Below are 24185 nucleotides of genomic sequence, written 5' to 3' on the forward strand. Positions count from 1 at the left end.
CCTCTTCATCCCATAATTCTGAAGAGTAACAGGCAGAACGTCTTATTAGGGGGCAGCTGAAATCGTCTAGGGAATGTGGCTAGGGAGTGTCGTCATCTTTACATCAAAGGCTATGCACAGATAACACGCCAATCCTGATTTCACCCATGAGAAAAGTGAACTCCAAGAATTTCAGGAATGTAGACGTGTCGATGATAAACATTGCATTTATTACAATTTCACTTTATTTCCTAGAAGAGGGGACATTATATTTCCTGGCCAGATGCTACCCTTTGAAAGAAATGCAAACTTTGATAAAATAGACATGCTATCAATTTCCTTAGGGGAGCTTTATCTTCACTGGGTCACTATACCCAGCATGACAGTAAAGTCTGCCATGTGTTTCTTGTCCCACTGGAAAAAAATACATAGAAAAGCTATGTACAAGGACTGTATTAAGATTCATCTATGTCTTTCAGAGATGGCAGGCAAGTGCCATTTCTGAACAATTTGGGTGAAGTCAGACACATGCACCTTACCCCGACAACCACTCAATGGACAGCAGAACATTGCAAATCATGACCTGTAATAGGACTGTCTTTGACTTACACAGCTCAGGAAACAACACTTGGTTTGGTCAAAGGTTTGTTCCTTTTCATTTCGTGTTCTAGTGTTTTCTTTTCCTGCCCTTATGACAGTTGTGTGCAATGGCATTATTGCATTAAATAGACACGACTGATTAGGTAGCATGAACCATAGTTTAGAATTTGGCTAAGTGTGGCTATGTTACTGTCTGTTTTTTCTTTTTCTTTTTTTAGGAGATAGGGTCTTGCTGTGTTGCCCAGGCTGGAGTACAGTGGCTATTCAGACATGTGATTCCACCACTATCAGCACGAGAGTTTTGACCTGCTGCATTTGTGACTTAGGGTGGTTCACCAGGCCTTAGGCAGCCTGGTGGTCTTCTGCTCCTGGGAGGTCACCAAGCTGGTGCTGAACGTAGTGCAGATACTTGATCAGCCTAGCGCACCATAGCCCAGAACTTCTGGGCCGAAGCGATCCCCCACCTCAGTCTCCTGAGTAGCCGGGACCACAGGCAGGCTACTTGCTGTTTTTGTCAACATAAAAGGGAGTCAGAAAAGGCAGAACATATCAAGATCAGTAAATCTAGGCTGGGCATGATGGCTCACACCTATAATCACAGTGCTTCATGAGGCCAAGGCAGGAGGATTCTTTGAGGCCAGGAGTTCAAAACCAGCCTGGGCAATATAGGGAGACCTTGTCTCTACAAAAAAATAGAAAATAAAGAAATTACCCAGGTGCAGTGGTGCATGCCTGTAGTTCCAGCCACTCCAGAGGCTGAGACTGGAGGATCTTTCGAGCTTAGGAGGCTGAGGCTGCAGCGAGCTCTTATCACACCAGTGCACTCCAACTTGGGTGACAGAATGAGACCCTGTCTCTAAAAGAAAAAGAAAAAAAGAGATTAGTAAATTCTTTAGAAACCAAGATTTTACCATGAGCAGTTGCATGAAGGTGGAAAACCTTTCTGTGATTATAAGTAGGGATTCTGAAAGAAGTCCTCAAAGTGAATACTTATTCCATGGAGAAACAGAATGAATTGAGAGAGTCCTGGAAGCTGGGAGGAGAGGAATCTGTAGAAAGCAGAGTCACTTAACTAATTCACCAATGAGACTGCAAACCGATGGTCATGGAGCTGCCATGGGAATCTGAATTACAGTCACTTTTATTCTTTGTATTTTATTGTTTGGATTGAAAATGCGGCCAGGCACGGTGGCTCATGCTTGTAATCCCAGCACTTTGGGAGGCTGGGGTGGGTGGATCACCTGAGATCAGGAGTTTGAGACCAGCCTGACCAACATGGTGAAACCCCGTCTCTACTAAAAATACAAAAATTGGGATTCCATTCCAAGATGGCCAAATAGAAACAGCTCCGGTCTACAGCTCCCAGCGTGATCAACACAGAAAACGGGTGATTTCTGCATTTCCAACTGAGGTATCTTGTTCATCTAATTGGGACTGGTTGGACAGTGGGTGCAGCCCACAGAGGGCAAGCCGAAACAGGGCAGGGCATTGCCTCACCTGGGAAGTGTCAGAGGATTTCCCTTTCCTAGCCAAGGAAGCTGTGACAGACTGTACCTGGAAAACTGGGACACTCTCGCCCACATACTGCACTTTTCCAATGGTCTTAGCAAAGAGCACACCAGGAGATTATATCCTGCACCTGGCTCGGCAGTTCCCACTCCCACAGAGCCTTGCTCACTGCTAGCACAGCAGTCTGAGATTGAACTGTGAGGCAGCAGCCTGGCTGGGGGGGTGGGCATCCAACATTGCTGAGGCTTGAGTAGGTAAACAATGTGGCCAGGGAAGCTCGAACTGGGCAGAGCCCACTGCAGCTCAGCAAGGCCTACTGCCTCTGTAGATTCCACCTCTGGGGGCAGGGTATAGCTGAACAAAAGGCAGCAGAAACTTCTGCAGACTTAAACGTCCCTGTCTGACAGCTCTGAAGAGAGCAGTGGTGCTCCCAGCATGGTGTTTGAGGTCTTAGAATGGACAGACTGCCTCCTCAAGTGGGTCCCTGACCCCCTTGTAGCCTAACTGGGAGACACCTCCCAGTAGGGGCCAACTGACAACTCATACAGGTGGTGCCCCTCTGGGACAAAGCTTCCAGAGGAAGGATCAGGCAGCAATATTTGCTGTTCTGCAATATTTGCTGTTCTGCAGCCTCCACTGGTGATATCCAGGCAAACAGGGTCTGGAGTGGACCTCCAGCAAACTCCAACAGACCTGCAGGTGAGGGATCTGACTGTCAGAAGGAAAACTAACAAACAGAAAGGAATAGCATCAACATCAACAAAAAGGACATCTACACCAAAACTCCATCTGTAGGTCACCAGCATCAAAGACAAAAGGTAGGTAAAACCACAAAGATGGAGAGAAACCAGAGCAGAAAAGCTGAAAATTCTAAAAACCAGAGTGCCTCTTCTCCTCCAAAGGGTTGCAGCTCCTCACGAGCAACGGAAGAAAGCTGGATGGAGAATGACTTTGACGAGCTGACAGAAGTAGGCTTCAGAAGGTCGGTAATAACAAACTTCTCCGAGCTAAAGGAAATGTTCAAACCCATCGCAAGGACGCTAAAAACCTTGAAAAAAGATTAGACGAACAGCTAACTAGAATAAATAGTGTAGAGAAGACCTTAAATGACCTGACGGAGCTGAAAACCACAGCATAAGAGCTACGTGATGCATGCCCAAGCTTCAATAGCCGATTCAATCAAGTGGAAGAAAGGGTATCAGTGATTGAAGATCAAATGAATGAAATAAAGTGATAAGAGAAGTTTAGAGAAAAAAGAGTAAAAAGAAATGAACAAAGCCTCCAAGAGATATGGGACTATGTGAAAAGACCAAATCTACATCTGATTGGTGTACCTGAAAGTGACAGGGAGAATGGAACCAAGTTGGAAAACACTCATCAGGATATTATCCAGGAGAACTTCCCCAACCTAGCAAGGCAGGCCAACATTCAAATTCAGGAAATATAGAGAAAGCCACAAAGATACTCCTCGAGAAGACACATAATTGTCAGATTCACCAAAGTTGAAATGAAGGAAAAAATGTTAAGGGCAGCCAGAGAGAAAGGTCGGGTTACCCACAAAGGGAAGCCCATCAGACTAACAGTGGATCTCTCGGCAGAAACTCTACAAGCCAGAAGAGAGTGGGGGCCAATGTTCAACATTCTTAAAGAAAAGAATTTTCAATCCAGAATTTCATATCCAGCCATACTAAGCTTCACAAGTGAAGGAGAAATAAAATCCTTTACAGACAAGCAAATGCTGAGAGATTTTGTCACCACCAGGCCTGCCCTACGAGAGCTCCTGGAGGAAGCACTAAACATGGAAAGGAACAACCAGTACCAGCCACTGCAAAAACATGCCAAATTGTAAAGACCATCGATGCTAGGAAGAAACTGCATCAACTAACGAGCAAAATAACCAGCTAACATCATAATGACAGGATCAAATTCACACCTAACAATATTAACCTTAAATGTAAATGGGTTAACTGCCCTGATTAAAAGACACAGACTGGCAAATTGGATAGAGTCAAGACCCAACAGTGTGCTGTATTCAGGAGACCCATCTCATGTGCAGAGACACATGTAGGCTCAAAATAAAGGGATGGAGGAAGATCTACCAAGCAAATGGAAAGCAAAAAAAAAGCAGAGGTTACAATCCTAGTCTCTGATAAAACAGACTTTAAACCAACAGAGATCAAAAGAGAGAAAGAAGGCCGTTACATAATGGTAAAGGGATCAATTCAACAAGAAGACCTAACTATCCTAAATATATATGCACCCAATACAGGAGCACCCAGATTCATAAAGGGAGTCCTTAGAGACCTACAAAGAGACTTAGACTTCCACACAATAATAATGGGAGACTTTAACACCCCACTGTCAATATTAGACAGATCAACGAGACAGAAGGTTAACAAGGATATCCAGTACTTGAATTCAGCTCTGCACCAAGTGGACCTAATAGACATCTACAGAACTCTCCACCCCAAATCAACAGAATATACATTCTTCTCAGCACCACATCACACTTATTCAAAAATTGACCACATAGTTGGAAGTAAAGCACTCCTCAGCAAATGTAAAAGAACAGAAATCACAACAAACTGTCTCTCAGACCACAGTGCAATCAAATTAGAACTCAGGATTAAGAAACTCACTCAAAACTGCTCAACTACATGGAAACTGAACAACCTGCTCCTGAATGACTACTGGGTAAATAACGAAATGAAGGCAGAAATAAATATGTTCTTTGAAACCAATGAGAACAAAGACACAACATACCAGAATCTCTGGGACACATTTAAAACAGTGTGTAGAGGGAAATTTATAGCACTAAATGCCCACAGAAGAAAGCAGGAAATATCTAAAATCAACACCCTAACATCACAATGAAAAGAACTAGAGAAGCAAGAGCAAACACATTCAAAAGCTAGCAGAAGGCAAGAAATAACTAAGATCAGGGCAGAGCTGAAGGAGATAGAGACACAAAAAACCCTTCAAAAAAATCAATGAATCCAGGAGTTGGTTTTTTGAAAAGATCAACAAAATTGATAGGCCGCTAACAACACTAATAAAGAAGAAAAGAGAGAAGAATCAAATAGATGCAATAAAAAATGATAAAGGGGATATCACCACCAATCCCACAGAAATACAAACTACCATGAGAGAATACTATAAACACCTCTATGCAAATGAACTAGAAAATCTAGAAGAAATGGATAAATTTCTGGACACATACACCCTCCCAAGACTAAACCAGGAAGAAATTGAACCTCTGAATAGACCAATAACAGGCTCTGAAATTGAGGCAATAATTAATAGCCTACCAACCAAAAAAAGTCCAGGACCAGATGGATTCACAGCCAAATTCTACCAGAGGTACAAAGAGGAGCTGGTACCATTACTTCTGAAACTATTCCAATCAATAGAAAAAGAGGGAATCCTCCCTAACTCATTTTATGAGGCCAACATCATCCTGATACCAAAGCCTGGCAGAGACACAACAAAAAAAGAGAATTTTAGATCAATATCCCTGATGAACATCAGTGCAAAAATCCTCAATAAAATACTGGCAAACCAAATCCAGCAGCACATCGAAAAGCTTATCCATCATGGTCAAGTTGGCTTCATCCCTGGGATGCAAGGCTGGTTCAACATATGCAAATCAGTAAACATAATCCATCACATAAACAGAACCATCAACAAAAACCACATGATTATCTCAATAGATGCAGAAAAGGCCTTTGATAAAATTCAGCAGCCCTTCATGCTAAAAACTCTCAATAAACTAGGTATTGATGGGACGTATCTCAAAATAATAAGAGCTATTTATGACAAACTCACAGCCAATATCATACTGAATGGGCAAAAACTGGAAGCATTCCCTTTGAAAACTGGCACAAGACAGGGATGCTCTCTTTCACCACTCCTATTCAACATAGTGTTGGAAGTTCTGGTCAGGGCAATCAGGCAAGAGAAAGAAAGAAAGGGTTTTCAATTAGGAAAAGAGGAAGTCGAATTGTCCCTGTTTGCAGATGACATGATTGTATATTTAGAAAACCCCATCGTCTCAGCCCAAAATCTCCTTAAGCTGATAAGCAACTTCAGCAAAGTCTCAGGATACAAAATCAATGTGCAAAAATCACAAGCATTCCTGTACACCAATAACAGACAAACAGACAGCCAAATCATGAGTGAACTCCCATTCACAATTGCTACAAAGAGAATAAAATACCTAGGAATCCAACTTACAAGGGATGTGAAGGACCTCTTCAAGGAGAACTACAAACCACTGCTCAACGAAATAAAATGACACAAACAAATGGAAGAACATTCCATGCTCATGGATAGGAAGAATCAATATTGTGAAAATGGCCATACTGCCCAAGGTAATTTATAGATTCAATGTCATCTCCATCAAGCTACCAATGACTTTCTTCACAGAATTGGGAAAAACGACTTTAAAGTTCATATGGAACCAAAAAAGAGCCCAGATTGCCAGGTCAATCCTAAGCAAAAAGAACAAAGCCGGAGGCACCATGCTACCTGACTTCAAACTATACTACAAGGCTACAGTAACCAAAACAGCATGGTACTCATACCAAAACAGAGATATAGACCAATGGAACAGAACAGAGGCCTCAGAAATAACACCATACATCTACCACCATCTGATCTTTGACAAACCTGACAAAAACCAGAAATGGGGAAAAGATTCCCTATTTAATAAATGGTGCTGGGAAAACTGGCTAGTCATATGTAGAAAGTTGAAACTGGATCCCTTCCTTACACTTTATACAAAATTAATTCAAGATGGATTAAAGACTTACATGTTAGACCTAAACCATAAAAACCCTAGAAGAAAACCTAGGCAATACCATTCAGGACATAGGCATGGGCAAGGACTTCATGACTAAAACAACAAAAGCAATGGCAACAAAAGCCAAAATAGACAAATGGGATCTAATTAAACTAAAGAGCTTCTGCACAGCAAAAGAAACTACCATCAGAGTGAACAGGCAACCTACAGAATGGGAGAAAATTTTTGCAGTGTACCCATCTGACAAAGGGCTAATATCCAAAATCTACAAAGAACATAAACAAATTTACAAGAAAAAAACAAACAACCCCATCAAAAAGTGGGCAAAGGATATGAACAGACACTTCTCAAAAGAAGACATTTATGCAGCCAAAAGACACATGAAAAAATGCTCACCATCACTGGCCATCAGAGAAATGCAAATCAAAACCACACTGAGATACCATCTCACACCAGTTAGAATGGCGATCATTAAAAAGTCAGGAAACAACAGATCCTGGAGAGGATGTGGAGAAATAGGAACACTTTTACACTGTTGGCGGGAGTGTAAACTAGTTCAACCATTGTGGAAGACAGTGTGGCAATTCCTCAAGGATCTAGAGCTAGCAATACCATTTGACCCAGTAATCCCATTACTGGGTATATACCCAAAGCATTATAAATCATGCTGCTATCAAGACATATGCACACTATTCACAATAGCAAAGACTTGGAACCAACCCAAATGTCCATCAATGATAGACTGGATTAAGAAAACCTGGCACATAGACACCATGGAATACTATGCAGCCATAAAAAATGATAAGTTAATGTCCTTTGCAGGGACATGGATGAAGCTGGAAACCATCATTCTGAGCAAACTATCACAAGGACAGAAAACCAAACACTGCATGTTCTCACTCATAGGTGGTAATTGAACAATGAGAACACTTGGACACAGGGTGGGGGACATCACACACCGGGCCTGTTGTGGGGTGGGGGGTTGGGGGAGGGATAGCATTGGGAGAGATACCTAATGTAAATGACGGGTTGATGGATGCAGCGGGCCAGCATGGCACATGTATACCTATGTAACGAGCCTGCATGTTGTGCACATGTACCCTAGAACTTAAAGTATAATAAAAATAAATAAATAAATAAATAAATAAATAAAATAAAATCAGGAGAAAAAAAATTGGCCAGTCATGGTGGCAGGTGCCTGTAATTCCAGCTACTCAGGAGGCCGAGACAGGAAAATCGTTTAAGACCAGGAGGCAGAGATTTTAGTGAGCTGAAATTGTGCTGCTGCACTCCAGCTTCGGCAACAGAGTGAGACTCTGTCTCAAAAAAAAAAAAAAATGCACATGCCCTTTATATGTAAATTTTCATTTTAGGGAATAAGTTCACATCTTCTTAACATATATTATTTTGGTGTTTTTAGACAATTCCAGTTCAAAATTCCTCTCCAGGTACATTTACCTGAAGAAATCTGCATCTCTGGTCTAATGCAAGATCTGGTTTCCAGGCTGGGCGCAGTGACTCTCGCCTATAATCCCAGCACTTTGGGAGGCCGAGATGGGAGGATTGCTTGAGCCCAGGAGTTTGAGACCAGCCTGGGCAACATAGTGAGATTATGTAAAAATACAAAAATTATCCATGGACTAGTGGGTGCCTGTAGTCCCAGCTATTCGGGAGGCTGAAGCAGGAGGATCACTCGAGCCTGGAAGTCGAGGCTGCAGTGAGCTGTGATCACCATAATTTTACTCCAGCCTGGGTAACAGAGAGACAACCAGTCTCATAAACAAAACAAAACAAAATCTGGTTTCTAGAGTTTATAGAATCATACAACAGCATGTTTCATGGAGCGTTCCATCTCACAAGGTGGTGTTTGGTTTAGAGAGGGTTATGTATGCCCTCTGATATTCTCAAATCTTTATTTAAAATGCTGGGAGAGTTGCTATCTGGCTTTGCATCAGTGTTTAATATAATAGCCATCCTTTTGGGGTGGGTGTTGACGAACAGCACACCTGCCATCTTCCAAATTATACCCCACACTTTGTCTTGTTGAATATTATTAAGATATAAAGACAGGGAAGACCTTCCATTTCCCTCCCACGTCCCCACCACCTTTAGTTGGGAGCACAGATGTCCCTGAGGCACTGCTATAGACCATGAGGTCACCGCAACACAAGGGACATCAAATGGGATTGCTCTGGCTCAAAACAGCCAGTCTTAATTCTGGTGCGATGAATGGCTTTGGTGGTCGTCCCAGATAAGAACATTCAGCGTCAGCAAGAAAGGCTGTAGGTATTTGGCTGAATGTAATGTTTTGTTGTTGATGTGCTGTTGTTTTTCTTTTCCTGGGTGTGTAGTAGGAGTTGCAAATGCGGGCTGCAGATTAGCAACGGGAACCATCTGGGTGAGCCTAGCAGGGACCAGCCCTCCCATGGGAGAGAGAGGTGACACGGAGCAGCTGATGCTTTCGTAATGATTCGAGGCAGCTGCCAAAAGAGGCAGAGCCTTTGCAGAACAGCCTGTCTGTTCTGCTCCTAGACATTAGAGAGATAATACGGCTGATAGGTGAGTTGGGGAAGGCTTGTTTGGACACATTTTCTCAGCCTTTTTTTTTTTTTTTTAACCTCTGGTAGAAACGGGCATAGTTGAAAGATCCATTGACCTATTGTATTCTGAAACTCAATGGATCATCAGCTTAGGCACTGAGAAATGGATTCCAAACCAATTTTAGTGTGAGCAAGTTTCTCTCCTTTCTGTTACTCTCATACCCTTTCTTCTTTCTTCCCTCCCTCCCTCCCTTCCTTTTTCTTTCTTAACCAAGAACGTGTGTGTGTGTGTGTGTGAGTGTGCGTGCGTGTGTGTCTGTGTAGTGTGTATAGTATGTGTCCAGAGTATACATGCTTTGGAACAAAATGAATTTAAGGAGGAATGCGTTTGTATTTTGTCCTTAGTGTTATTTTAAGGTACAAATATGGGTAATAACTTGCAGACTACAGATGGGCTTTTCTTTCATTGTAATGCATTTGGCTGTCATATCCCTTAGTCCTAACCCCTCTGCCACTGCCAACTAAATATAACCATTAGTCATTCAGTGGTTTCTGCATTTTGCAGTCAAAAAAGAGGGAGCTCATTTTGATTAATTGCCTCTTTCCTTATTCAGGACACAGAAGCTTTCTGAGTTTAAACTTTTAGGCTTGGCAGGACATTGAGACAATGCTCTTGGGCCAGCATGTTTCAGGGCAGGTTTTGCCACTGAGACAATTCATCCAAGAGCCCCAGGACTTGGGGCAGCAGGAGTTCTTTTAAAAATGGGCCAAAAGACGGGCAGAGCACTTGAGGTCAGCAGTTCAGGACCAGCCTGGCCAACATGCTGAAACCCCATCTCTACTAAAAATACAAGAATTAGCCGGGCGTGGTGGTGCACGCCTGTAGTCCCCACTACTCAGGAGGCTGAGGCAGGAGAATGGCTTGAACCCGGGAGGCAGAGGTTGCAGTGAGCTGAGGTTGCACCACTGCACTCCAGCCTGGGTGACAGCGAGACTCCGGCTCAAAAAAAAAAAAAAGGTCAAAAGAATGAACTCATTGAAAGTTCAGGATTTGTGCAGTAGTGGCCTTGGAAAATCAATTTAAAAATGTCGGAATTAGGGATATGGCTCACAAGTCTAGTGTGAATTTCATGCTGGGAACTAATTTAATTGACACATGAATGATACTTTTTTTTTTTTTTTTTGGTCTTTTAAATCACGTCTGTGTCTTCTGCCAAAGACAACAAGAAGGTATTCCAAGCTGCACAATGAGGCCCAGGTAGGTAAAGCCATATACTGCATTGTGAGCACATTGAATCTAATGTATAATTCTGTGTATTTGTGAATCCAGCCTTATAGGTAGAGGCATTTAATATCATCTGCCTTTTTTTCTTTTTTCTTTTTCTTTTCTTGTAACCTACTATGAGTCAACATGCTGTCTTTATATGGCTGGCCATAAGATGTCTAAGTTCATTCTCTCGACTTAGTAAGTGTGTAAGTTTTTTAAAAAGGTAGGAGTTAGGCAATTGATAGAGATGTAAACTGTAAATTTCCAACAGATACATATGAGTTTATGTTTATTTTTATTTATTTTAGAGACAGGGTTTCACAGGGTTTTGCTCTGTCACCCAGGGTAGACGACAGTGGTGCAGTCATAGCTCACTGCAACCTCCAACTCCTGGGCTCAAGAGATCCTCCAGCCTCAGCCTCCAGAGTAGCTGGGACCTCAGGTGCTTATCGCCACGCCCAGCTAATTTTTTATTTTTATTTTTTGTAGAGACAGGTTCTCATTTTGTTGCCCAGGTTGGTCTTGAACTCCTGGGCTCAAGGAATCCCCCCGCCTCAGCCTCTCAAAGTGCTGGGATTACAGGTGTGAGCCACCATTGTGCCCAGCCGTATACATGATTTTAAAGTGTTGTAAAAACAGGAGGTGAAAAAATTCAACTAACTTTGCATAGATGAAAAGCATTTCTATAACTTCGGGGATTTGGCCCACAGTCCTGAGCATGTAGCTTTTGCCTGCAAGACATTCTCAATCTTCAAGGAGATGTTTGCATACAGCAAAAAAATTGTACTCTTCTGTGGCTGTCATTGTTTCAGAGTATTTACAAAGGACTCTGAGAGCCAATAGGGATGAACTCCTGTTTGTATTTTTTCTCTCAGAGGAGATATTTGAAGTGGGTTTTGAAACATGTATAGACATGAGATAGGAATTGAATCAATAATCCACATGTCCAATATTCATTACCTGATAACTGAGTAGGGATATGCTGAGAAGAGCGTCATGTGTTTCCTTAAGAAAATATGACCTCAGCTGGGACTGAGCAAAACTATGAAGTGGACTCAGGTGGTCCTCAGAGTCCACGTTTCTTTCTTTTCCTCAATTCAGTTCTTTCCCCAACTTCCACTTTTCCTTTACTTGGTAATTCCTTATTTTATTTTATTTATTTATTTTTTTGCTTGTTTTTCTTTTCTCCAGCCAAAGCTGCTATTCTCACACTTTTTCTTCTTTTGAGGGTCTCGTCCTGTAGCCCAGGCTAGAGTGCAGTGGCGCAATCTCAGCTCACTGCAGGCTTGAACTCCTGAGCTCAAGCGATCCTCCCACCTCAGCCTCCAGAGTAGCTGGGACTACAGGCATGCACCACCACACCCAGTTCATTTTTACATTTTTTTGTAGGGATGGGGTCTCACTATGTTACCCAGGCTGGTGACGAACTGATTCTCCTGCCTCAGCCCCCCAAAGAGCTGGGATTACAGGTGTGAGCCACTGCAACCTGACTTTTTAAAAATTTGGAGTAATGATAAATTGCATGTATTTATTCTTTTTATATTATGAATATTTTATTTTTATTTATTTTTTCTTTCTTTTTAAATTCATTTTTCTTTTTATTTTTTTCCTTTTTAAATTTCTTTTTCTTTTTTTATTGTCCCTTGAGTCAAAAAAGCTGACATATAAACATTGCATAGATTTATGGTGTACAACTTGATGTTTTGAAATACGCCTGCATTTTGGAATAGCTCAATTATGCTAATGCATGTTACCTCATCCACTTACCTATTTGTGATGAGAACACTTTGAGTAGATTTTATCAGTAATTTTCAACTCTAAAATACATTCTTATTAACTACAGTCAGCACAAGTACAATAGATTCTTTGAACTTATTTCTCCTGTCAAATTGAAATTTTGTATCCTTCGACCAACATCTCCCCAACCCCTCCACTGGCCCCCCAGCTCCCAGCAGGCATCATTCTACCCTTTCCTTCTATGAGATCAACTTTTTGAGATTTCACATAGAAGTGAGATCATGTGGTATTGGTGTTTCTGTGCCAGGCTTATTTTCCTTAGCATAATGACCTCCAGGTTCATCCACGTTGTTGTAAATGACAGAATTTCATTCTTTTTTAACGCTGAATAATATTCCACGGTGTATATGTACCGCATTTTCTTTATCCATTCATGCAATGATGGACACTGAGGTTGATTTCACAGTTTGGCCATTGTGAATAGTACTGTAAGGATCACACACACCCACATGCCCTTAAATTAGAATAAAAATTCTAATTTTAGAATGAAGTTAAGGTTAAATCCCTTACCTGTAGAGACTCATTTAAGTCCCTTAAATGAGGTTAAGTCCCTGGAAGAGGGAGTTAACCTCAGGAGTCTTATCGTCTCCGTCCTCTGCAATGATTTGCCCCTGAGTACGTGTTTTCAGACTTCCCTCCTGGAAGGGCATCTACTTTAGCCTTTTAAAAAAAATTCAATAGTTTTTGGGGAGCAGGTGATGTTTGATTACATGGATAAGTTCTTTAGTGGTGATTTGTGAGATTTTGATGCACCCATCCCCTGAGCAGTGTACACTGCACACAATGTGCGGTCTTTGATCCCTCACTCCCCTCCCACCCTTTCCCTGAGTCCCCAAAGTCCATTGCGTCATTCTTATGCCTTTGCAGCCTCATAGCTTAGCTCCCACTTATGAGTGAGAACATACAATGTTTGGTTTTCCATTCCTGAGTTACTTCACTTAGAATAATTGTCTCCAACTCCATCCAGGTTGCTGCAAATGACATTATTTTGTTCCTTTTTATGGCTGAGTAGTATTCCATGGTGTGTGTGTGTGTGTGTGTGTGTGTGTGTGTGTATGAATATGAAAATTTGATATGGATAGATAGATACCTGCAGATCTATACAGATAAAGAAGATGTGTTATATATAGGTATCTACAGATCTATAGATATCAAGAGTGTCTCGCTCCAAGCACCAAGCACTGCTGCTGAATGGCAGCAGAAGTGCCCAAAGAAATGCGCTCTTGGCTTCTCACTTTGTATACAATCTATAGCTATCTATCTCTATATATCACATTTTCTTTATCCACTCATTGATTGATGGGTATTTGGGCTGGTTCCACATTTTTGCAACTGCAAATTGTGCTGCTGTAAACATGCGTGTGCAAGTGTCTTTTGTTGTTGTTGTTGTTGTTGTTGTTGTTTTTGATGGAACCTCGGTCCGTCACCCAGGCTGGAGTGCAGTGGCACAATCTTGGCTCACTGCAACCTCCGCCTCCCGGGTTCAAGTGATTCTCCTGCCTCAGCCCCCCTAGCAGCTGGGATTACAGGAGTGTGCCACTACACTCGGCTAATTTTTGTACTTTTAGTAGACACAGAGTTTCACCATGTTGGCCAGGCTGGTCTCGAGCTCCTGACCTCAGGTGATCCACCTGCCTCGGCCTCCCAAAGTGCTGAGATTACAGGTGTGAGCCACCACACCCGGCCGCAAGTGTCTTTTATATATAATGCCTTCTTTTCCTCTGGGTAGATACCCAGGAGTGGGATTGCTGGATCAAATAGTAGATCTACTTTTAGTTCTTTAAGGAATCTCCATACTGTTTTCCACAGCGCTTGTACATTCCCACTAACAGTATAAAAGGATTCCCTTTTCACTGCATCCATGTTAACATCTGTTGTTTTAGCCTTTATTTTATGCAAAGTGAGAAGCCAATAACGCATTACGTTGGGCACTTCCGCTACCATTCAGCAGCAGTGCTCGGTGCTTGGAGAGAGACACTCTTGAGCTTCAGGAGATGCCTGGGAGATCCACGTGATCTCCAAAGACCCCTGTTGTGTTGTGTTGGGAGGTGGATCCTGAATCCACCCAGAGAAGCCTGATACCAATAAAATCCCTGCTTGCTTTCCAGGAGACCCTTGGTCTTCATGTCTTTGGTGTGTGCACTCTTGAACACATGCCAGGCACACAGGGTGCATGACGACAAGCCTAATATTGTCCTAATCATGGTTGATGACCTGGGTATTGGAGATCTGGGCTGCTACGGCAATGACACCATGAGGTAAGGCGGTTTCATGGCCAGTCATACGTTCGTCAGTCGTTCAGGTTCAGCAGGCTGGCTGTACGGCTGCATCTATGTGCAAAACCAAATGTATTTGTTGGGACTTTTTTTTAAGTTACTTTAAACTTTTTGATAGTTTTAAATTATTTAGATTATGTAATAGTTTTACAATTACATTTTTAATAATTTTAATTTGAATCTCTTTCAGTTTTTAAACTTAAGAAATAATAATTGTCCATCTTCACAGGGTACACAGTGAGGTTTGGATACATACAAAGTATAGTGATCAGATCAGGGTAATCAGCACATCCAGTGCCTCTAGCATTAACCAGGATGGTCATAGTAAAAGCATGGCTATCTGGACCCGAGTCCTGGCTCTGCATTTACTAGCTCTGAAGTCTTAGAGAAGTCGCTGAACCTCTCTGTGCCTGTTTTCTTATTTGTCGAATGCAGAGAAGGCTTTATATCCCTGAGTTTATGTGTGTAAAGAACTTAGAATAGTACCTAACACACAACTACCCTCTATCATACAGCCTATTATGAAGCATGATGATTGTATGTACATGTACATATACAGATATGAACATATAAATGTCATTATATAAATATATGTGATATATTCATATATGAATATATTCTATAATATATAAAGTATATATCATACATTTATTATATTACATATCCATATATTATGAATATATGAACATACATTCAATGTATAAACATATATGAATATATTTATAATATATGAATATATAATATTACTAATATATATGAATATGTTATTCATATATACATGAACATATACATATTTCTATGTCTATGAATATATATTCACTTTTATATAAATGTATTTTTAAAAATTAAATATAAATATATTTAAATAAATATATAAACATATATTTATATATTTTATAAAAGTACATTTAAATAAATATATGTAAATATATATTCATTTTATATAAATAAATATTTATATAAAATGAATATATCTTCATACATATTGATAATATATAAAAGTATATATTATCAATATATATTGATAATATATAAATATATATTTATATATATAATATATAATATTCATAATAGGCTGTATGATAGAGGGTAGTTGTGTGTTAGGTACTATTCTAAGTTCTTTACACACATAAACTCAGGGATATAAAGGCTTCTCTGCATTTGACAAATAAGAAAACAGGCACAGAGAGGTTCAGCGACTTCTCCAAGACTTCAGAGCTAGTAAATGCAGAGCCAGGACTCGGGTCCAGATAGCCATGCTTTTACTATGACCATCCTGGTTAATGCTAGAGGCACTGGATGTGCTGATTACCCTGATCTGATCACTATACTATATATTAATAAATAAATATATATTATTTATTAATATATATTTAATTATACATATATAAATATTTTAATATAAATAAATATAATATAAATATTTATAAATATATTTATAAATAAAATTATATATAATTATAAATATATAATTAAATATATAATTAATAAATATATATTATAAATATAGATTTATAATATATAAATATATATTAATAAATATGTATGAATTTATGAATATATATTCAATTATATATATTCATAAATATATAAATGTGAATATGTATATTCAGCAGAATTCATTCTGTTTCCTAATTTGGTGAGCCAATAGATTCTTTAAGATGGTGAGCTTGTATTTTTAACAATGGGCATTCTGAAAGAAGAAAAACAGATATGAAACAAACTCAGTGCTTTGTGGTGGATAATAGAAGCTATCTGTATTAGCCATTCTTATACTGAGCTTAGGAGTACATCGTTATCAGACGTACATCATACACTTTTAAGATCATTGCGTTGTATGACTAATAGATGCTGAAGGTAGTCATCACAGTTTTCGACAACGGAGCTAGGAGTCATGAAAAAGTAGTCGCCAAAAATTAACCATTGCTTATGAGAAAAGAAGAGAGGACTCACCGAAAAGCGCAGAAACATGGTGTCCATAAATGGCAGATATTTACAGAGAGTATGTTAGCGTGGGGTATCGGTGTTTTGCTGAAAATACTAGCAATTTGAGAAGTGAGATTATAATGTGAAATCTAAAACCAGGCACATGTGCCCCAGGAATGCAGTTTACAATTTTTTTCTTTGCAAAATAAATAATGTTTTAAAAGTTGGTAGGTGACTTCCATATCTGAAAAAAAAATCAGATGCACACCTTGGTAAAGCTGGAACTTCTCCTTGCACCAGTTACCTGTCATAATTTCTCTCATGAATAAATGTAGAACTCATTATATTTTATTTTCATCCAAGAGGAGACTGATTCTTTTTCCAGAAGTCTCTCCAGCCTCCAGAAATCTCTTGTTAAATTATTTTTTAATTGACGAATTATAGTTCTGTGTATTTCTGGTGTACATCATGATGTTTTGATTCATGGATCCATTGTGGAATAGCTAAATCAAGCTAATTAACATGCACAACCACACATACTTATTATTTATATGTGGTGAAAATGGTGAAAATTATAGCAATTTCAAGAATAGAATACATTGTTATTAACTATAGTCACCACAATCTGCAACAGATCTCTTAAATTTATTCCTCTATGTGAGGAATAAATCAAATAGAGGATTTATTCACGTTTGGCTCCGTGAAATGTTGTATCCTTTAACCTACCTGTTCTCGACCCTCACCCCAGCGCCTGATACCCACCATTCTACTGTCTACTTCTGAGTTTGCTATTTTAGATTCCACACATAAGTGAGATCATGCGGTATTTGTCTCTCTGTGCTTGGCTTATTTCATTTAATCTAATACCCTTCCAGTTCATCTGTGTTGTCGAAAATGGTGGGATTTCCTTCTTTTGAATATTTAATCATATGACAGTTTTGCAACCTATGCAGACTGCAGGGAAATGTATCTATCAAACCAGTGAGTGGGTGGGTCTGTGAGTAGTTAGGCATAAGTAAGGTCTGTAAGCAATTAGCCTCGATGAATCAGACCCCAATCCCTTAAGCATTTTATTTTGTAAGGCTGAAGTACAGTGAATGGACACCATATAGTGGCACCCAGGTATATGAACCCTGCAGAACAACAGCTGCCTGGAATCTCAGTCATACTTCACCTTGACACGGGCAAAAAAGAAAAATGAACTCCGTGTGCAGTTACCTGCTCTGGGTACCTGGAAATCATAATAAACAGAGATGTTGTTTATCTTCAGATCTCTCTGTCTCTCTCTCTGTCTCTCTCTCTCCTCTTTCTGTCTCTACATCTCTTTCTATGCCTATGCGTGTCTCTGTCACCCCTCTCTGTCTGCTTGTCTCTTTCTATCTCTCTCTCTGTCTCTCTCTGTCTCCCTCTCTTTGTCTGCCTGTCTCTCTATCTCTCTCTCTGATTGTCTCTCTCTGTCTCCCTCTCTTTGTCTATCTCATTCTATCCATTTCTTTCTATCTCTTTCTGTCTCTCTCTCTCCCTCTCTCTGTCCTTCTGTTTCCATCTGTCTCTCCATCTCTTTCTATGTCTGTCTCTGTCTTCCCCCTTTCTCTGTCTGCTTGTCTCTCTATGTCTCTCTGATTGTCTGTCTCTGTCTCTGTCTCTCTCTTTGTCTATCTCACTCTATCCATTTCTTTCTGTGTCTTTCTCTCTTTCCTTCTCTCTCCCTCTGTCTGTATCTTTCCATCTCTCTCTGTCTCTCTCTTCCTCTCTTCTTCTCTCTCTCCATCTCTCTCTCTGTATCTCTCTCTGTGTCTCTTTCTCTCTTTTCATCTCTCCCTGTTTGTCTCTCTCTGTTTTTCTTTCTGTCTCCCTCCATCTGTCTCTTTTTCCACCTCTCTTTCTGTTTCTCTCTGTCTCCCTCCCTCTGTTTATCTCTCTTTCCATTTCTTTCTGTCTCTCTCTTAATCTCTGCATGTCTCTTTCCATCTCTCTCTTTCTGTTTCTCTCTCTCTGTCTTTCTCTCTCTCTCTTGTCTTCTCTCTGTCCCTCTCTGTCTTTCTCTGTCTCCCTCTTTCTGTCTTTCTCTCTCCTTTTTTCTGTTTGTCTCTCTCTTTCCATCTCTCTCTGTTTCTCTCTGTGTGTCTTACCCTTTGTCTCTTTCTCTGTCTCTTTTCATCTCTCTCTTTCTGTTTTTCTCTTTCTATCCTTTTCTGTTGCTCTCTTTCTCGTTTGTCTCTCTCTCTCTTTCATCCTTTCTTTCTGTCTGTCTCTCTCTCTGCCTCGCTTTCTGGGTCTCTCCCTCTCTCCCTGTCTGTCTCTCCTCTCTCTTTCCACCTGTGCCTTTCTGTTTGTCCTTCTCTGTCTTCCTCTCGCTCTTCCTCTCTGCTTCCCCCGCCCCCCACCTTTTCCTTCTCTCCAATACACCTTCCCTCTCCCCCTTCAGGACGCCTCACATCGACCGCCTTGCCAGGGAAGGCGTGCGACTGACTCAGCACATCTCTGCCGCCTCCCTCTGCAGCCCAAGCCGGTCCGCGTTCTTGACGGGAAGATACCCCATCCGATCAGGTGCGCAAACTGGCGGGCTCTGCTGGGCTCTGCCCTCATGTTAGGATGTGAGGAAACAAAAATGTGGCTTGACCACGTTAACAAGTAAAAAAGGGCTGGGCACGATGGCTCACGCCTGTAATCCCAGAACTTCGGGAGGCCAAGGTGGGAGGATTGCTTGAGCCCAGGAGTTTCAAACCAGCCTGGGCAACAGAGCAAGACCCCATCTCCACAAAATTTTTTTAAAATAAGTTGAGCATGGTGGCATGTGTCTGTGGTCCCAGCTACTTGGGAGGCTGAAGTGGGAGGATCGCCTGAGCCCGGGAGTTTGAGGCTGCAGTGAGTGTGATCACAGCATTGCACTCTAGCCTCGTTGATAGAGCATGTGTTAGAAAGAAAAAAAAAGATACAAAGGAAAGAAAAGAAAAAGCACACATGTGCATAGGTGCACTGGCACACACAGCTAGCACTGGTCACATCAAAATGGCTGCGCTTCTCAGAGATGCAAGATCACCCTGTGTGCTTCAGTTGTCTTTTGATGCAATGAGAGTTTTTTATCTGAATTCCAAGTCACAAGGTGTACATTTGAGTTTCCCAGGTCAACAAAGATAAGCTGTCTTGGAATGAAGTAATTAATACAACATGTGTTTACACATTCAGTCTGTCACCAAAAAATATCTTTTTTTTTCTTTCAAACCACAAAGTCATGGCCGGGCATGGTGGCTCATGCCTGTAATCCCAGCACTTTGGGAGGCCAAGGCAGGTGGATCACTTGAGGTCAGGAGTTCGAGCCCAGCCTGGCCAACACGGTGAAAGCTCATCTCTACTAAAAATACAAAAATTAGCCGGACATGGGGGCATGCACCTGTAGTCCCAGCTACTCAGGAGGCTGAGGCAGGAGAATCGCTTGAACCCGGGAGGCAGAGGTTGCAGTGAGCCAAGATTGTGCCACTGCATTCCAGCCTGGGTGACAGAGCGAGACTCTGTCTCAAAACAAACAAACAGCAACAACAACCAAAAACCCACAAAGTCATAAACCAAGAAATAGCTATCAGATTTTTGGACAACTTTCATCACAGCATTTTACCCATGGAGACAGTAGTATTATCCCCTTGCTCAATTTATATCAATTTTATTTTATTTATTATTATTATTATTATTATTATTATTTTTGAAATGGAGTCTCGCTCTGTTACCCAGGCTGGAGTTCAGTGGTGCAATCTCGGCTCATTGCAACCTCTGCCTCCTGGGTTCAAGTGATTCTACTGCCTCAGCCTCCTGGGTAACTGGGATTACAGGCACGTGCCACCAGGCCTGTCTAATTTTTGTATTTTTAGTAGAGATGGAGTTTCGCCATGTTGGCCAGGCTGGTCTTGAACTCCTGACCTTAGGTGATCCACCCACCTCAGCCTCCCAGAGTGCGGGGATTATAGGTGTGAGCCACCGCACCCGGCCATATATCAATTTTAGATAAAACAAAAATGAAATGAGAAGAACGAAATTATCGTAAGCTCTAGTTGTCATGTTCTCATTACTTTTTAATTTATTACTATTATTTTGAGACAAGGTCTTGCTCTGTTGACCGGGATGGAGTGCAGTGGTATGATCACAGCTCACTGCAACCTCAACCTTCCAGGCTCAGGTGATCCTCCCACCTCAGCTTCCTAAGTAACTGGAACCACAAGTGTGCACCACTATGCCTGGCTAATTTTTTAACTACTTAGGGTATTGCTGTGTTCCCCAGGCTGGTCTCGAGCTCCTGAACTCAAGCCATCTTCCCTCTTTGGCCTCCAAAAGTTCTGGGATTACAGGCATGAGCAACTGCACCCAACCTGGTGACTTTTTTTGTTTGTTTGGTTTTTTGCTTTTGAGATAGGGTCTCCCTTTGTTGCCCAGGCTGAAGTGCAGTGTCACAATCTCAGCTCATCACAGCCTCAAACTCCAGGGCTCAAGCGATTCTCCCTCCTCAGCCTCCTGAGTAGCTGAGATTACAGGTACCCGCCACCATGCCCAGCTAATTTTTGTATTTTTGGTAGAGATGGGGTCTCACCATGTTAACCAGGCTGGTCTTGAATTCCTGAGCTCAAGTGATCGGCCCACCTCGGCCTCCCAAAGTGCTGGGATTTTAGGCATGAGCCACCGTGCCTGGCCAAAAGTAGCTATTTTTAAATGTGCTATTCAGTAGCATGTAGCTCTTTCCCAATATTGTACAACCATCACCTCTATCGAATTCTAGAACATTTCCATCACCCACAAAGGAGATCTTGTCCCCATGAAGCAATCACTCCCCATTCCCCCTTCTCGCAGCCCCCGGTCACCAAGAATCCACTTTCCGTCTCTACAAACATGTCTGTCCTGGACATTTCACATAAAAGGAATCATACAGTATGTGACAGTCTGTGACTGGCGTCTGTCACCAAGCATAATGTTTTATGGTAGCCTGGGTCAGAGTTTCATTTATTTTTATGTTGAATACTATTCCCTCGCATGGATTCACTACAGTTTCTCCATCCATTCATCAATTGATGGGCAGTCAAGATGTTTCTATTGTTTAGTGATTGTGAGGAATACAACTATGAACATACATGTACAAGTTTTTCTTTGAATACCAGTTTTCAATCCTTTTGGGTTCCTCAGGAACCTCAATTCTTTTGACATTCCCCAGGAGTGAAATTGTTGGGTTGCATGGTTCTATTTTTTTTTTTTTTTTTTTTCAGATGGAGTTTCACTCTTGTTGCCCAGGCTGGAGTGCAATGGCGCAATCTCGGCTCACTGCAACCTCTGCCCCTGGGTTCAAGCGATTCTCCTGCCTCAGCCTCCTGAGTAGCTGGGATTACAGGCATGTACCACCACGCCCAGCTGATTTTGTATTTTTAGTAGAGACGGGGTTTCCCCATATTGGTCAGGCTGGTCTCGAACTCCTGACTTCAGGTAATCCCCCTGCCTTGTCCTCCCAAAGTGCTGGGATTACAGGTGCGAGTCACCACATCCAGTCATATAGTTCTATTTTTAAAGGTGAGGGAAGTGGGCTTGGGGCATGGTGGCTCACACCTGTAATCCCAGCACTTTGGGAAGCTGAGGAGGGCAGATCAGTTGAGGCCAGGAATTCAAGAACAGCCTGGCCAACATGGTGAAACCCCATCTCTACTAAAAATACAAAATTAGCTGGGCATGGTGGTACATACCTGTAATCCCAGCTACTCGGGAGGCTGAGACAGGAGAATTGCTTGAACTCAGGAGGCAGAGGTTGCAGTGAGCTGAGATCATGCCACTGCACTCTAGCCTGGGCAGCAGAGTGAGATTTCATGTCAACAACAACAACAAAAAAAAAAAAAAAAAAAAAAGAGAGAGAGAGAAAAAAAAAAAAGAAAAAAAAATGGTGAGGGAAGTAGTCTTCGCTTGTGGGTACAGATGCCGCAGTTTAATGCCAAATTATGTGGATTCCAGATAGCGGTTCTTGGAGGCAGAATAAAATCGCACGTATCAACCCTACTGCCAGTCTGCTGACACTGACTTTGGACGAGAAGAAAGAAAAGGTCTTTTTTGGCTGAGTGCAGTGGCTCATGCCTGTAATCCCAGCACTTTGGGAGGCCAAGGCGGGCAGATCATGAGGTCCGGAGATGCAGACCATCCTGGCCAACATGATGAAACTCCGTCTGTACTAAAAATACAAAAATTAGCTGGGTGTGGTGGCGTGCACCCATAGTTCCAGCTACTTGGGAGGCTGAGGCAGGAGAATCACTTGAACCTGGGAGGTGGAGGTTGCAGTGAGCTGAGATGGCACTGCTGCACTCCAGCCTGGTGACAAAGCGAGACTTCATCTCAAAAAAAAAAAAAGATCTTTTCTTAGTCTGTTTGGGCTGCTATAACAAAAATACCATAGACTGGGAGGCTTATCTACAACAGACATTTACTGCTCACAGTTCTGGAGGCTGGAAGTCCAAGATCAAGGCATGCCAGATTCAGTGTCTGCTGGGGACCTGCTTCCTGGTTCATACACGGCGCCCTCTTGCTGTGTCCTCACATGGTGGAAGGGGTGAGGGAGCTCTCTGGGGTCCCTTTTGTAAGGGCACTGATTCCATTCTTGAGGCTCCACCCTCCTGACCTCATCCCCTCCTAAAAGCCCTACCTCCTAACCATTACCTTGCAGATGAGGATTTCAATGTGCAAATTTTGTAGTGACAAAAATATTCCCTCTGTAGCAACACCTACTCATTGTACTTTTTTCCACACTACATCTAGGTATGGTTTCTAGTGGTAATAGACGTGTCATCCAAAATCTTGCAGTCCCCGCAGGCCTCCCTCTTAATGAGACAACACTTGCAGCCTTGCTAAAGAAGCAAGGATACAGCACGGGGCTTATAGGTAAGACACAAGAATTGGTGTTAGTCATTGATCATAAGGTAATCATGTCCTTTGTTCTACCCTTGATTTATGACTTTCTTGGAAACGCTGTATTTTACAATGTCTTATGTAAAGGCGCAGTGGCCCATGCCTACAATCCCAGTACTTTGGGAGGCCAAGGTGGGAGGATCGCTGGAAACCAGGAGTTTCAGACCAGCCTGGGCAACATAGAAAGACCCCGTCTCTAAAAATATAAAATTAGCTAGGCATTGTGGCATGTGCCTATGGTCCCAGCTACTCCAGAGGCTGAGGTGGGAGGATTACTTGTGGCAGGACTTCTTTTCTTTATTATTATTTTTAAAACAGAGGAGTCTCACTGTGTCACCCAGGCTGGAGCACAGTGGCACAATCTCGGCTCACTGCAACCTCCATCTCCTGGGTTCAAGGGATTCTTGTGCCTCAGCCTCTCAAGTAGCTGGGACTACAGGCGCGTGCCACCACGACTGGCTAATTTTTGTATTTTTAGTAGAGATGGGGTTTCATCATGTTGGCCAGGCTGGTCTTGAACTCCTGGCCTCCAGTGGTCTGCCTGCCTTGGCCTCCCAAAGTGCTGGGAT

The 24185-nt window shown here is 41.8% G+C and overlaps 1 protein-coding gene and 1 pseudogene across 7 annotated transcripts in view; one reads left to right on the forward strand and one right to left on the reverse strand.

Annotated features, from left to right (window-relative positions):
- Nucleotides 1-24185, forward strand: part of ARSF (arylsulfatase F) — a 72494-nt gene that overhangs the window by 17191 nt on the left and 31118 nt on the right. For 4 of the 7 annotated variants that reach the window (XM_011545522.2, XM_011545523.2, XM_011545524.2 and 1 more), the window contains exons 1-5: nucleotides 9556-9615; nucleotides 10649-10687; nucleotides 14602-14751; nucleotides 19124-19245; nucleotides 23467-23589. In XM_011545522.2, the coding sequence (XP_011543824.1) occupies nucleotides 9593-9615; nucleotides 10649-10687; nucleotides 14602-14751; nucleotides 19124-19245; nucleotides 23467-23589 (457 nt within the window). In that variant the 5' untranslated portion in view covers nucleotides 9556-9592. Of the gene's footprint in view, nucleotides 1-9374; nucleotides 9449-9555; nucleotides 9616-10648; nucleotides 10688-14601; nucleotides 14752-19123; nucleotides 19246-23466; nucleotides 23590-24185 lie in introns of those variants that run through there. The other 3 variants (NM_001201538.2, NM_001201539.2, NM_004042.5) reach the window with 2 other exon arrangements.
- On the reverse strand, nucleotides 796-1078 carry RN7SL578P (RNA, 7SL, cytoplasmic 578, pseudogene; annotated as a pseudogene).

This window comes from Homo sapiens, chromosome X (assembly GCF_000001405.40).
Source record: "Homo sapiens chromosome X, GRCh38.p14 Primary Assembly".
Classification (NCBI taxonomy): Eukaryota; Metazoa; Chordata; class Mammalia; order Primates; family Hominidae; genus Homo; species Homo sapiens.